This window comes from Homo sapiens, chromosome 2 (genome assembly GCF_000001405.40).
Source record: "Homo sapiens chromosome 2, GRCh38.p14 Primary Assembly".
Classification (NCBI taxonomy): Eukaryota; Metazoa; Chordata; class Mammalia; order Primates; family Hominidae; genus Homo; species Homo sapiens.
Window position 1 is genome coordinate 152,993,875 of NC_000002.12, and position 16,408 is coordinate 153,010,282.

Genomic DNA, 16,408 nt, shown 5'->3' on the forward strand with positions numbered 1-16,408 from the left:
AATTTTAAATTGCACATATATGTAGGTTATCTTATCTATACTTTTATTTCATATATAAAAAGAGGCATTGAGAATCACTAGATGACAATAGTATGGTATCTGTCTCTCTTCTGGAAAAATCTAACTTGAACTCATGCATAGAGAAATGAAAACTGGAATTTATAGAATTGTTTCTATGGGGACATTGTGAGATTCTCTGCTGATGATAATGACTTAAGAAAGACTTTGGGCCACATGCGGTGGCTCATGCCTGTAATCCCAGCACTTTGGGAGGCTGAGGCGGTTGGATCACAAGGTTAGGAGTTTGAGGCCAGCCTGGCCAATAAGATGAAACCCCATCTGTACTAAAAATACAAAAATTAGCCAAACGTGGTGGTGGGCACCTGTAGTCCCAGCTACTTGGGAGGCTGAGGCAAAAAAATTGCTTGAACCTGGGAGGCGGAGGTTGCAGCGAGCTGAGATTGTGCCACTGCACTCCAGCCTGGGTGACAGAGTGAGATTCTGTCTCAAAAAAAAAAAAAAAAAAAAAAAAAGACTTTGAAAGTTTGGGAAACAAGCAGATTGGGCTCGTGTCCAAATGGCAAAGTTTGACACAAGCTGAGGAGGAGAACATTCCTTTATGGCATCCTGTACTTTGTTGAACAGAAGCAATGATAACAGGTACTCCTGCCTTTTCCTGGAATTTGAAAGGTATATGTCTAAATTTTTCTCCAGTGTGTGTAATTATTTATCATGTTTAGGGAGCTTTATTCTATTCCTAATACTTGCTAGTATGTTTTAAAATCATAAATTACTATTAAAGTTTATCAAGTAATTTTTGGCATTATTAAGAACATCTTCAGAGCAACTCTTCAGGACTTTTTGGTGCAAATCATGCTGGGTTCTGCAGTCAACCAAGCTACATATTTATGAGGTCAGCCATTTAAGATTAATAGAGATTGTTCTTATAATTTGCTACCCACTTTTGTTCTCAAGTATGCTGGTTTAAAGACTCTAATGTTGACATGGTTGTTGTTTTCATCTACTTGGTCTGTCATAACAAAATTTCATAGACTGGGTGGCTTAAACAACAGACATTTATTTTCTCACAATTTTGGAACCTTGACATCCAAGAGCAGGGCATCAGCACAGTGGATTTCTGGTGAGGCTTCTATTTCTGTGTTGTAGATTTCTGTCATCTCACTGTTCATGTGACCTCTTCTTGGTGAGCATGTGCATGGAGTGTGGTGTGAAAGAGAAGGAGGTGGAGGGACATAGCAAGCTCATTGGTATTTTTTCTTATAAGGACAGGCAATATAATATGATATGATAATTCTATCATATTAGGGTTCCACCCATATGACTTTATTGTACCTTAGTTACCTCCTTATAGGATCTCCAAATACAGTTACATTGAGAGTTAGGGCTTCAACATAACAATTTTGGGGTACAAAATTCAGTCCATTGCAGTAGTTTATCTGGGTCACTATAAATCAAATAGAACTAACTTGAAAATTTAATAAACCAAGCCCTGAATTAGTAGAGGAAAGAAACAATAAAGATCAGAGCAGAAAGAAGTAAAATCAAGACTAAAAAAATACAGAAGATCAACAAAATGAAAAGTTAGTTTTATGACAATGATAAAATCAGCAAGCTGTTAGCTAGACTAAGAAAAAAAGTGAATACCCAAATAAAAGGAGAAATGAAAAAGGAGACATAACATCTGAGAGCTCAGAAATACAAAGAATCACCAGAGACTATTGTGAATAACCATACACAATAAATTAGAAAACCTAGAGGAAATGTATAAATTCCTGGATCCAAACAATCTACCAAGAGTAAACCATGAAGAAACAGAATAACTAAACAGACCAATAATGAGTAATGAGATTGAAACTGTAATGAAAAGTCTCCCATCAAAGAAAAGCTCTGGACCTAATGGCTTTACTGGTGAATTCTACAAAACATTTAAAGAACTAATACCAATTCTGCTCAAGTAGAAATCCACTGCTCTGGCACCCTCCTCTTGGATTTCGAGTTTTCAGAACTTTGAGAAAATAATATCTATTGTTTAAACCACCCAGTCTATGAAACTTTGTTATGACAGACCAAGCAGATGAAAACAATAACCATGTCTATTCAACTCAAGAAAATACTTCCAAACTTCTTCTATGAGGACAGTATTACTCTGATACCAAAACCAGATGAGCTCACAACAAAAGAAAACTACAGGCCAATATCTCTAATGAATATAGATGTGAAAATCTTCAACAGAATACAAGTAAAGCGAGGCTGGGGGAGGGGCGCCTGCCATTGCCCAGGCTTGCTTAGGTAAACAAAGCAGCTGGGAAGCTCGAACTGGGTGGGGCCCACCACAGCTCAAGGAGGCCTGCCTGCCTCTGTAGGCTCCACCTCTGGGGGCAGGGCACAGATAAACAAAAAGACAGCAGTAACCTCTGCAGACTTAAATGTCCCTGTCTGACAGCTTTGAGGAGAGCAGTGGTTCTCCCGGCACGCAGCTGGATATCTGAGAATGGGCAGACTGCCTCCTCAAGTGGGTCCCTGACCCCTGACCCCCTAGCAGCCTAACTGGGAGGCACCCCCCAGTAGGGGCAGACTGACACCTCACACGGCCGGGTACTCCTCGGAGACAAAACTTCCAGAGGAACGCTCAGACAGCAGCATTCGCGGTTCATGAAAATCCGCTGTTCTGCAGCCACCGCTGCTGGTACCCAGGCAAACAGGGTCTGGAATGGACCTCTAGCAAACTCCAACAGACCTGCAGCTGAGGGTCCTGTCTGTTAGAAGGAAAACTAACAAACAGAAAGGACATCCACACCAAAAACCTGTCTGTACATCACCATCATCAAAGACCAAAAGTCTTTGATAAAACCACAAAGATGGGGAAAAAAACGGAGCAGAAAAACTGGAAACTCTAAAAAGCAGAGTGGCTCTCCTCCTCCAAAGGAATGCAGCTCCTCACCAGCAACTGAACAAAGCTGGACGGAGAATGACTTTGACGAGTTGAGAGAAGAAGGCTTCAGAAGATCAAACTACTCCAAGCTACAGGAGGAAATTCAAACCAAAGGCAAAGAAGTTGAAAACTTTGAAAAAAATTTAGACGAATGTATAACTAGAATAACCAATACAGAGAAGTGCTTAAAGGAGCTGATGGAGCTGAAAGCCAAGGCGCGAGAACTACGTGAAGAATGCAGAAGCCTCAGGAGCCAATGCGATCAACTGGAAGAAAGGGTATCAATGATGGAAGATGAAATGAATGAAATGAAGCGAGAAGGGAAGTTTAGAGAAAAAAGAATAAAAAGAAATGAACAAAGCCTCCAAGAAATATGGGACTATGTGAAAAGACCAAATCTACATCTGATTGGTGTACCTGAAAGTGATGGGGAGAATGGAACCAAGTTGGAAAACACTCTGCAGGATATTATTTAGGAGAACTTCCCCAATCTAGCAAGGCAGGCCAACAGTCAGATTCAGGAAATACAGAGAATGCCACAAAGACACTCCTCGAGAAGAGCAACTCCAAGACACATAATTGTCAGATTCACCAAAGTTGAAATGAAGGAAAAAATGTTAAGGGGACCCGGAGAGAAAGGTCGGGTTACCCACAAAGGGAAGCCCATCAGATTAACAGCTGATCTCTCAGCAGAAACTCTACAAGCCAGAAGAGAGTGGGGGCCAATATTCAACATTCTTAAAGAAAAGAATTTTCAACCCAGAATTTCATATCCAGCCAAACTAAGCTTCATAAGTGAAGGAGAAATAAAATACTTCACAGACAAGCAAATGCTGAGAGATTTTGTCACCACCAGGCCTGCCCTAAAAGAGCTCCTGAAGGAAGCACTAAACATGGAAAGGAACAACCGCTACCAGCCACTGCAAAATCATGCCAAATTGTAAAGACCATCAAGGCTAAGAAGAAACTGCATCAACTAACGAGCAAAATCACCAGCTAACATCATAATGACAGGATCAAATTCACACATAACAATATTAACTTTAAATGTAAATGGACTAAATGCTCCAATTAAAAGACACAGACTGGCAAATTGGATAAAGAGTCAAGACCCATCAGTGTGCTGTATTCAGGAAACCCATCTCACGTGCAGAGACACACATAGGCTCAAAATAAAAGGATGGAGGAAGATCTACCAAGCAAATGGAAAACAAAAAAAGGCAGGGGTTGCAATCCTAGTCTCTGATAAAACAGACTTTAAACCAACAAAGATCAACAGAGACAAGGCCATTACATAATGGTAAAGGGATCAATTCAACAAGAAGAACTAACTATCCTAAATATATATGCACCCAATACAGGAGCACCCAGATTCATAAAGCAAGTCCTGAGTGACCTACAAAGAGACTTAGACTCCCACACAATAATAATGGGAGACTTTAACACCCCACTGTCAACATTAGACAGATCAACGAGACAGAAAGTTAACAAGGATACCCAGGAATTGAACTCAGCTCTGCACCAAGTGGACCCAATAGACATCTACAGAACTCTCCACCCCAAATCAACAGAATATACATTTTTTTCAGCACCACACCACACCTATTCCAAAATTGACCACATAGTTGGAAGTAAAGCTCTCCTCAGCAAATATAAAAGGTCAGACATTATAACAAACTGTCTCTCAGACCACAGTGCAATCAAACTAGAACTCAGGATTAAGAAACTCACTCAAAACCGCTCAACTACATGGAAACTGAACAACCTGCTCCTGAATGACTACTGGGTACATAACGAAATGAAGGCAGAAATAAAGATGTTCTTTGAAACCAAAGAGAACAAAGACACAACATACCAGAATCTCTGGGACACATTCAAAGCAGTGTGTAAAGGGAAATTTATAGCACTAAATGCCCACAAGAGAAAGCAGGAAAGATCCAAAATTGACCCCCTAACATCACAATTAAAAGAACTAGAAAAGCAAGGGCAAACACATTCAAAAGCTAGCAGAAGGCAAGAAATAACTAAAATCAGAGCAGAACTGAAGGAAATAGAGACACAAAAAACCCTTCAAAAATTAATGAATCCAGGAGCTGGTTTTTTGAAAGGATCAACAAAATTGATAGACCGCTAGCAAGACTAATAAAGAAGAAAAGAGAGAAGAATCAAATAGACGCAATAAAAAATGATAAAGGGGATATCACCACCGATCCCACAGAAATACAAACTACCATCAGAGAATACTACAAACACCTCTACGCAAATAAACTAGAAAATCTAGAAGAAATGGATAAATTCCTTGACACATACACCCTCCCAAGACTAAACCAGGAAGAAGGTGAATCTCTGAATAGACCAATAACAGGCTCTGAAATTGTGGCAATAATCAATAGCTTACCAACCAAAAACAGTCCAGGACCAGATGGATTCACAGCCGAATTCTACCAGAGGTACAAGGAGGAACTGGTACCATTCCTTCTGAAACTATTCCAATCAATAGAAAAAGAGGGAATCCTCCCTAACTCATTTTATGAGGCCAGCATCATCCTGATCCCAAAGCCGGGCAGAGACACAACCAAAAAAGAGAATTTTAGACCAATATCCTTGATGAACATTGATGCAAAAATCCTCAGTAAAATACTGGCAAACCGAATCCAGCAGCACATCAAAAAGCTTATCCACCATGATCAAGTGGGCTTCATCCCTGGGATGCAAGTCTGGTTCAATATACGCAAATCAATAAATGTAATCCAGGGTATAAACAGAGCCAAAGACAAAAACCACATGATTATCTCAATAGATGCAGAAAAGGCCTTTGACAAAATTCAACATCACTTCCTGCTAAAAACTCTCAATAAATTAGGTATTGATGGGAAGTATCTCAAAATAATAAGAGCTATCTATGACAAACCCACAGTCAATATCATACTAAATGTGCAAAAACTGGAAGCATTCCCTTTGAAAACTGGCACAAGACAGGGATGCCCTCTCTCACCACTCCTATTCAACATAGTGTTGGAGGTTCTGGCCAGGGCCATTAGGCAGGAGAAGGAAATAAAGGGTATTCAATTAGGAAAAGAGGAAGTCAAATTGTCCCTGTTTGCAGATGACATGATTGTATATCTAGAAAACCCCATTGTCTCAGCCCAAAATCTCCTTAAGCTGATAGGCAACTTCAGCAAAGTCTCAGGATACAAAATCAATGTACAAAAATCACAAGCATTCTTGTACACCAATAACAGACAAACAGAGAGTCAAATCATGAGTGAACTCCCATTCACAATTGCTTCAAAGAGAATAAAATACCTAGGAATCCAACTTACAAGGGATGTGAAGGACCTCTTCAAGGAGAACTACATACCACTGCTGAATGAAATAAAGGAGGATACAAAGAAATGGAAGAATATTCCATGGTCCTGGGTAGGAAGAATCAATATCATGAAAATGGCCATACTGCCCAAGGTAATTTATAGATTCAATGCCATCCCCATCAAGCTACCAATGACTTTCTTCACAGAATTGGAAAAAAGTACTTTAAAGTTCATATGGAACCAAAAAAGAGCCCGCATCGCCAAGTCAATCCTAAGCCAAAAGAACAAAGCTGGAGGCATCACACTACCTGACTTCAAACTATACTACAAGGCTACAGTAACCAAAACAGCATGGTACTGGTACCAAAACAGAGATATAGATCAATGGAACAGAACAGAGCCCTCAGAAATAACGCTGCATGTCTACAACTATCTGATCTTTGACAAACCTGACAAAAACAAGCAATGGGGAAAGGATTCCCTATTTAATAAATGGTACTGGGAAAACTGGCTAGCTATATGTAGAAAGCTGAAACTGGATCCCTTCCTTACACCTTATACAAAAATTAATTCAAGATGGCTTAAAGACTTAAATGTTAGACCTAAAACCATAAAAACCCTAGAAGAAAACCTAGGCATTACCATTCAGGACATAGGCATGGGCAAGGACTTCATGTCTAAAACACCAAAAGCAATGGCAACAAAAGCCAAAATTGACAAATGGGATCTAATTAAACTAAAGAGCTTCTGCACAGCAAAAGAAACTACCATCAGAGTGAACAGGCAACCTACAATATGGGAGAAAATTTTCGCAACCTACTCATCTGACAAAGGGCTAATATCCAGAATCTACAATGAACTCAAACAAATTTGCAAGAAAAAAAGAACCCCATCAAAAACTGGGCGAAGGACATAAACAGACACTTCTCAAAAGAAGACATTTATGCAGCCAAAAAACACATGAAAAAAATGCTCACCATCACTGGCCATCAGAGAAATGCAAATCAAAACCACAATGAGATACTATGTCATACCAGTTAGAATGGCAATCATTAAAAAGTCAGGAAACAACAGGTGCTGGAGAGGATGTGGAGAAATAGGAACACTTTTACACTGTTGGTGGGACTGTAAACTAGTTCAACCATTGTGGAAGTCAGTGTGGCGATTCCTCAGGGATCTAGAACTAGAAATACCATTTGACCCAGCCATCCCATTACTGGGTATATACCCAAAGGACTATAAATCATGCTGCTGTAAAGACACATGCACACGTATATTTATTGCAGCAGTATTCACAATAGCAAAGACTTGGAACCAACCCAAATGTCCAACAATGATAGACTGGATTAAGAAACTGTGGCACATATACACCATGGAATACTATGCAGCCATAAAAAATGATGAGTTCATGTCCTTTGTAGGGACATGGATGAAATTGGAAATCATCATTCTCAGTAAACTATCGCAAGAACAAAAAACCAAACACCACATATTCTCACTCATAGGTCGGAATTGAACAATGAGAACACAGGGACACAGGAAGGGGAACGTCACACTCTGGGGACTGTTGTGGGGAGGGGGCAGGGATAGCATTAGGAGATATACCTAATGCTAAATGATGAGTTAATGGGTGCAGCACACCAGCATGGCACATGTATACATATGTAACTAACGTGCACATTGTGCACGTGTACCCTAAAACTTAAAGTATAATAATAATAAAATTTAAAAAAAGAGGCCAAAAAAAAAAAAACCAGAATACAAGTAAACCTAACTGAATGACACATTAAAATCATCATTCACCATGATCAAGTGGGATTCATCCCAGAGAAGCAAGGATGTTTGAACATAGGCAAATCAATAAAAGATAAACATCACATTACAGCCGGGCTCTTTGCTAAAGAGATAAATGCAAATAAAAATCACAATGAAATACCATCTCAACCCAGTTAGAATAGCTTTTATTGAAAAGACAGGGAAGAAGGGACACTGGTGAGGAAGCGTTTAAGTCTAATTTACTGTGGTTTTATGATTACAAATACTTCATCACATATACTGTTGGTTTTATGATTACAAATACTTCACCCTCATATACTGCTGATAAAAATGTAAATTAGTACAGCCACTATACAAAACAGTATGAAGTTTCCTCAAAAAACTAAAAATAGAACTTCCATATGATTTAGCAATCCCACTACTGGTTATATATCCAAAAAAAGGAAATAAATATATTAGAGAGACATCTGCACTCCCATGTTTATTGCAACGCTGTTCACAATAGCTGAAATATGGAATTAACCTAAATGCCCATCAATGGATACACAGATAAAGAAATGTAGTATATACTGCATATTCTCACTTATAAGTGGGAGCTAAATGATGAGAACACATGGACACATGGGGGAAACAACACACACTGGGGGCTGTCAGAGGTCAGGGCGTGGGAGGAGGGAGAGAACCAGGAAGAATAGATAGTGGATGCTGGGCCTAATACCTGAGTGATGGGATGATCTGTGCAGCAAACCACCATGGCACACGTTTACCTATGTAACCAACCTGCACATCCTGCACATGTACCCCTGAACTTAAAAGTTGGAGAAAAAATTGGTATATATACAAAATTGAATATTATTCAGCCATGTAAAGAATAAAATCTTGTCATTTGCACCAACGTGCATGGAACTGAAGGTCATTACAGTGAGTGAATTAAGTCAAGCACAGAAAGATAAGTGTTGCATGTGCTCACTCATATGTGGCAGTTAAATAAGTAGATATCACAGAGAGTAGAGTGGTAGTTATCAGAGGCCAGGAAGGGTAGAGGGGAGGGAGGGATGAAGAGAAGTTGACTGATGGGTACAAATATACAGTTAGATGGAAGAAAGAAAACGTGATGCTTTATAGACCTGTAGGATGACTATAGATAACATTAATCTATTATAAATTTAAAACTAGTGAGAAGAGAGTAGTTCACATGTTCTTAGCATTAAAAAAGATAAGTATTTAAGGTGATGGGTAAATCTGATTACCCTAATTTGATTACATGAATGTATAAAAATTATCACGTACCCTGAAAATATGTACGTCTATTTATATCAATTGAAAAAGACACACCAAAAATTTAAAAATATAGCATAAATGGATGAATGAACTGAAAAAAAATTTGAACACGCCTATCCATTTCTTTTTTATATTTTGGCTGAAAAAGTGACACTTTTAAATAAAGTCTTGCTTATGCTTGATTTACATGTAGTAAAGAAAAAGCTGAATGTCAAGAATATAAAGTGTACAGAAGTTTGAGTGACGGGAAAACAACATCATTTTAAAATTCCAACATTCTGTTGCTGTTTAAGTCTAATGTACTGTGGTTTTATGATTATAAATACTTTATCAGTTGCTACCATTGCTCAGGAGAATTTTATGAGTTAATAGAGAAAATAATGGAAAATTCTTCTCAAAGCTGTATATTAGAAGATAGGAGGAAAAAGGAAATTTAATGTAAGAATTCATTTACAGCCAATTAATAGTTTTGTGAGTAATCATAAGGACTATGGAAACATAAGAAGGGTTTGAAGTTTTATATATAAAGCATGTTAGGTACTACAGACTTAGATAGAAATAATAACCCAAAATGACCATTGTGTGTACCTCAGAAAAAGGAATTTTTTTTCTTTTCACTCAGGGTCATTGACTCTGATATTTGAAGCATAAAAAACAGAAGTTCCTAGTGAAAACTAGGTATTAGTTCTTTTTTTTTTTTTTTTTACTATAAAAATCAAATATGTGATTCTGAACCCAACTATAAATAATTCCCTTGGGGAATTCAGTACCACTTGTGGGGAAATTTGTATTCAATTTCCTTTTTGTTATGTTTTCTCTAAGTGCAATTATACTTCAAAAAAATTGAGTCTTTTTTTTTCTGCTTGGCATTGCTATGTTAAACTCATGAGTGGTTCAGATATAACAAATGGAAAATAATTAGTTCAAAAATAAGACCTGAGTGCTTCTCTTTTTAAAATTTATGATTGGCATGGCTAAAAGTCTTGTACTAAAAAAAAAAATAGTGTTGCATTCTTTTGCATTCTTACTCTCTATTGTCTGCTTTCCTTTAAAGTAGCCTGCCTAGATAAAAATCCAAATCATGTATCAATGATGAGGTAGGAATGAGAATATTATAAATATTATACTAACTTCTCAAATTTCTTGCTTACATTTGTATTTTCCACTTGGTGTAAGTGGGTGGTTTATCCAGAAAAGTAGTGGTAAACATGAATATTTATTATAAAGGTACATTGGAGATCCTGTAAGCAAAATGAGTTTAAATAGGAGGTAACTGTGAGACTGTAATGCAGTTTTCATTAATTTTGCAATGCTTGTTGCTCTTTAAAATGTAGTAAAAATGACAACCACCTCTATTCCTAACTCATTCAGTCTAGCTCAAGTAAAAGGGGGTTATTTTAAAGGATATCCGTAAGAAGGATGGACACCTAGTGTATGATATACAACGCGGGAAGGTGGGGTCTTGAATGGAGTGGAACTGGTAAGGCTGGCACAGCAGTTGGGTGGGAAGCTCTGCTCCAGTGCTGGGTAGTGAATGTCACTCAGCCTCTCTGTCTCTACTGATCTTGCAACTACAGCCTGGTTTCTTCACTATGCTTCTTCCCTTTAACATCTTATGCCTACTTCTGATTTCCTTTTCATAACCTGATTTAGTTCATCATGTCCTCTTCTTCACCTCATAGCTTCTATTTGAACATTCTTTTGCTTTCAGTTCCCACTGCTGACATCCAGTTCTTACTATGTTTCTCAGTATTGACAGTGAGATTTGAATGAACTCAGCTAAGCTTTTCACAAGTCAACTTATTGTCCACTGGAAAGCTGAAAGACGGTCTACCTTGGGTCAGATACCTATCCATTTTCCAATCAGCTGTGGCCCATGGGAGAGATAGGGGAGGTGGGCTGCATGATGCAGAATATAGCTTTCCCTGCAGAAGGAGAATCTATGGCTAATTTCTTTATCTGGAGCTGTGCACACAGCAGTTTCCTTGGAAGGTGTGGTAGGCACAGTGATTGATGTGTCTGATGCAGCACTAAACCACAGACTCTAATGATTTGTGAGGAGGAGCTGAACCATCACTCTGTATGTTATGGGAGGCAGTAGTCTCATGAGATTCTCATGCAGCAATATAAGCATCTCAGGAGTTTTGCTACTGGAATGTGATGCCCAAAGAAAACAACAGCTTCATGCAACCTGTAACTGTTAACGATTAGTGAAGGGATGGTTTTATCGTGTCATGAGTTTATCTATTTCGGGAGACTGCATGAGAATATTGATTAGTTTTACCACGAAGGCAAAAGAAGACATGCCTTGCAACGTTTTCTGTGCTTTTGGTTACCATATGCTGTGTGATTTTCTTTCTCATCAGTAGGCATTTAAAGACTGATCTATGATAATTAAATGTAGATTAAAATGTGACAAGATTTAATATAGACATCTATGCTTCCAAGGAAACTACAATTAGTAAAGCTTACATTTCAGACCTTTTTTTTAAAAAAGCTATGAACTGTTATTTTTCTCATCAGTTAGCTGTAAGCTTTGGATTTATTTACGGCTTTGGAAATAAAGTTTTTTCAGTTCAGCAGAAATGCTGGCATGTTTATTCATGGAATAAATGCTAAAAATCTTTAAAGAATATCTGCTTCTATCAAAGTTATGCTATTACAATGTTAAAATTGCAAATTCATTTTCTTTCATAGAGTTGATTTAGAGTTATACAAAATATAGAAATCATTGGATAAATCAGAAACTTCATTTTAATTTGGGGTGTTAAAATAGTTGGAAGATTTTCAAAATTATTTAAATGAAGGTAAGTGATAATAGCAATTTTTGGTTTGCTATCATCGTCTTTTAAGATAACATACTTTTTAATGAATCATTTGCTTAAACCAACTTGGTAGTAAGAATTTGGTATGAAATTTTCATAAATCAGTAATAAACTCAAAACCCTCTATTCTTCATGAAACAGAAATTGTATTTACCAAAATAAATCAGTAATAAACTGGAAAACTAGTTTTCTAACTTGTCTATTGACAGTGTTATCATAAATTTGTATATAAAGTATGCTATTGAATGTTTCACGTTTTTAAACTTTACCTAGACAGTGTTGTAACATACTTAATATTTAATTTGTTTTTTTTCACTTAACATCAGTTTTTTTGGGATGGACCTAGAGGATATAGGTAGCTATAATTCATTCATGTTTACTGTCGTATAGTATTATATAACATCTCATAATTTATTCATCTAATTTTAAATTGCTTTTAGTCTTCTGCTGCTATAAACATTTTTTGTATATGTTTTCTTGCGCATACATAAGAAAGTTTCTCTAGGGAAATACTTGTGCAGGAAATTGCTGGGTGGTAGGCTAAGCACATTTTAAAATATCCTAGATATTGGCAAATTATATTCTAAAGGGATTGTGCTGATTTGTATTTCCAAACTGAGAATACTGAGAATTCCCGTTTTCTCATGTTTGTGAAAAACTTGAATTTTAAAAAATTTTTGTATCACCAATTACTAGTTAGAACAGTGAGCATTTCATGTATTCATTGAGCATTTGGATATCTTAGTGTCTAAATTGTTTATATGCTTTGCCATTTTTATATTTTATTGTTTTTGTTTCATTTTTAATTGATCTATAGGAATTCTTTCTGGAATTTGAATAGTAATGCATGGTGATTTATATATATATTATATAACATATAAAAATTATATTATATATAATATATATCAAATATATATAAAATTATTATATATAAAATATATATAAAATATATTAAAAATATATATTATATAATATATATATTTTATATATATACATATTATATGTATCTTCTACCAGAATTGCTTGTATTATCACTTAAAAGACAAGTCTTATATTTGACAGAAGTATTTAATTCTAAATTAGTCAAATGTATTCATCATTTTTTATAGTTTGTGCTTATGCATCTTGTCTAGGAAATTATTCCTCACACTGAATTTATTAAAAAGATTTCCTATATTTATTTCTAAAAGTTATAAAGTTTTTTTTTTGACACTTAGGTCTTTAGTTCACTTGGAAATTTTTTAATGTCATGTAAGTAAAAATTGAATTTATTTTTATTCATATCAGGAGCATATTTCCCCAGTACCATTTGCTGAATATTCCATTATTTACCTACTGACTTGAAATGCTGTCCCTGTTGTATACCAAATGACCCAAAGTATAGATGGGCCTGTTTCTGAGTTCTCTCTTCTGTTCATTGGTCTATTTGTCTTTCTCTGCATGAATATCACCCAGTTTTAATTATTATAATTTTATAATAAGTCTTGATAGCTTGTAGAACTAGCCATCCAATTTCACTTTCAAAAATATCTTGGCTATTCTTGGTGTTTTATTTTTTCATTTAACTTTGAATATCCACTTGTTAAGGTCCACAGAAAACTGTTTGGTATTAGACGAGATTTATCTCCCTATTTATTTTAGGTCTGTTTTATGTCTTTGACAAAATTTTAATATTGTCATTAGAGTTCTTGCACATCTTTGCTAAATTTACTACTAGGTACCTTATAGTTTTTTTTTTCTTTTCTTTTTTTTTTTTTTTATTATACTCTAAGTTTTAGGGTACATGTGCACATTGTGCAGGTTAGTTACATATGTATACATGTGCCATGCTGGTGCGCTGCACCCACTAATGTGTCATCTAGCATTAGGTATATCTCCCAATGCTGTCCCTCCCCCCTCCCCCGACCCCACCACAGTCCCCAGAGTGTGATATTCCCCTTCCTGTGTCCATGTGATCTCATTGTTCAGTTCCCACCTATGAGTGAGAATATGCGGTGTTTGGTTTTTTGTTCTTGCGATAGTTTACTGAGAATGATGGTTTCCATTTTCATCCATGTCCCTACAAAGGATATGAACTCATCATTTTTTATGGCTGCATAGTATTCCATGGTGTATATGTGCCACAGTTTCTTAATCCAGTCTATCATTGTTGGACATTTGGGTTGGTTCCAAGTCTTTGCTATTGTGAATAGTGCCGCAATAAACATACGTGTGCATGTGTCTTTATAGCAGCATGATTTATACTCATTTGGGTATATACCCAGTAATGGGATGGCTGGGTCAAATGGTATTTCTAGTTCTAGATCCCTGAGGAATCGCCACACTGACTTCCACAATGGATGAACTAGTTTACAGTCCCACCAACAGTGTAAAAGTGTTCCTATTTCTCCACATCCTCTCCAGCACCTGTTGTTTCCTGACTTTTTAATGATTGCCATTCTAACTGGTGTGAGATGATATCTCATAGTGGTTTTGATTTGCATTTCTCTGATGGCCAGTGATGATGAGCATTTCTTCATGTGTTTTTTGGCTGCATAAATGTCTTCTTTTGAGAAGTGTCTGTTCATGTCCTTCGCCCACTTTTTGATGGGGTTGTTTGTTTTTTTCTTGTAAATTTGTTTGAGTTCATTGTAGATTCTGGATATTAGCCCTTTGTCAGATGAGTAGGTTGCGAAAATTTTCTCCCATGTTGTAGGTTGCCTGTTCACTCTGATGGTAGTTTCTTTTGCTGTGCAGAAGCTCTTTAGTTTAATTAGATCCCATTTGTCAATTTTGTCTTTTGTTGCCATTGCTTTTGGTGTTTTGGACATGAAGTCCTTGCCCACGCCTATGTCCTGAATGGTAATGCCTAGGTTTTCTTCTAGGGTTTTTATGGTTTTAGGTTTAACGTTTAAATCTTTAATCCATCTTGAATTGATTTTTGTATAATGTGTAAGGAAGGGATCCAGTTTCAGCTTTCTACATATGGCTAGCCAGTTTTCCCAGCACCATTTATTAAATAGGGAATCCTTTCCCCATTGCTTGTTTTTCTCAGGTTTGTCAAAGATCAGATAGTTGTAGATATGCGGCATTATTTCTGAGGGCTCTGTTCTGTCCCATTGATCTATATCTCTGTTTTGGTACCAGTACCATGCTGTTTTGGTTACTGTAGCCTTGTAGTATAGTTTGAAGTCAGGTAGTGTGATGCCTCCAGCTTTGTTCTTTTGGCTTAGGATTGACTTGGCAATGCGGGCTCTTTTTTGGTTCCATATGAACTTTAAAGTACTTTTTTCCAATTCTGTGAAGAAAGTCATTGGTAGCTTGATGGGGATGGCATTGAATCTGTAAATTACCTTGGGCAGTATGGCCATTTTCACGCTATTGATTCTTCCTACCCATGAGCATGGAATGTTCTTCCATTTGTTTGTGTCCTCTTTTATTTCCTTGAGCAGTGGTTTGTAGTTCTCCTTGAAGAGGTCCTTCACATCCCTTGTAAGTTGGATTCCTAGGTATTTTATTCTCTTTGAAGCAATTGTGAATGGGAGTTCACCCATGATTTGGCTCTCTGTTTGTCTGTTGTTGGTGTATAAGAATGCTTGTGATTTTTGTACACTGATTTTGTATCCTGAGACTTTGCTGAAGTTGCTTATCAGCTTAAGGAGATTTTGGGCTGAGACGATGGGGTTTTCTAGATAAACAATCATGTCGTCTGCAAACAGGGACAGTTTGACTTCCTCTTTTCCTAATTGAATACCCTTTATTTCCTTCTCCTGCCTGATTGCCCTGGCCAGAACTTCCAACACTATGTTGAATAGGAGCGGTGAGAGAGGGCATCCCTGTCTTGTGCCAGTTTTCAAAGGGAATGCTTCCAGTTTTTGCCCATTCAGTATGATATTGGCTGTGGGTTTGTCATAGATAGCTCTTATTATTTTGAAATACGTCCCAGCAATACCTAATTTATTGAGAGTTTTTAGCATGAAGGGTTGTTGAATTTTGTCAAAGGCTTTTTCTGCATCTATTGAGATAATCATGTGGTTTTTGTCTTTGGCTCTGTTTATATGCTGGATTACATTTATTGATTTGCGTATATTGAACCAGCCCTGCATCCCAGGGATGAAGCCCACTTGATCATGGTGGATAAGCTTTTTGATGTGCTGCTGGATTCGGTTTGCCAGTATTTTATTGAGGATTTTTGCATCAATGTTCATCAAGGATATTGGTCTAAAATTCTCTTTTTTGGTTGTGTCTCTGCCCGGCTTTGGTATCAGAATGATGCTGGCCTC

General features: G+C 37.0%; 1 long non-coding RNA gene across 4 annotated transcripts in view; it reads left to right on the plus strand.

The window, feature by feature from the left end:
* Window positions 1-16,408, plus strand: part of LOC105373691 (uncharacterized) — a 79,687-nt gene that overhangs the window by 34,918 nt on the left and 28,361 nt on the right. For 2 of the 4 annotated variants that reach the window (XR_007087267.1, XR_923481.1), the window contains exon 1: window positions 563-690. The exons of the other annotated variants lie outside the window; for them this stretch is intronic. This is a non-coding gene — a long non-coding RNA (uncharacterized LOC105373691). Of the gene's footprint in view, window positions 1-562; window positions 691-16,408 lie in introns of those variants that run through there. 4 annotated transcript variants of the gene reach the window in all.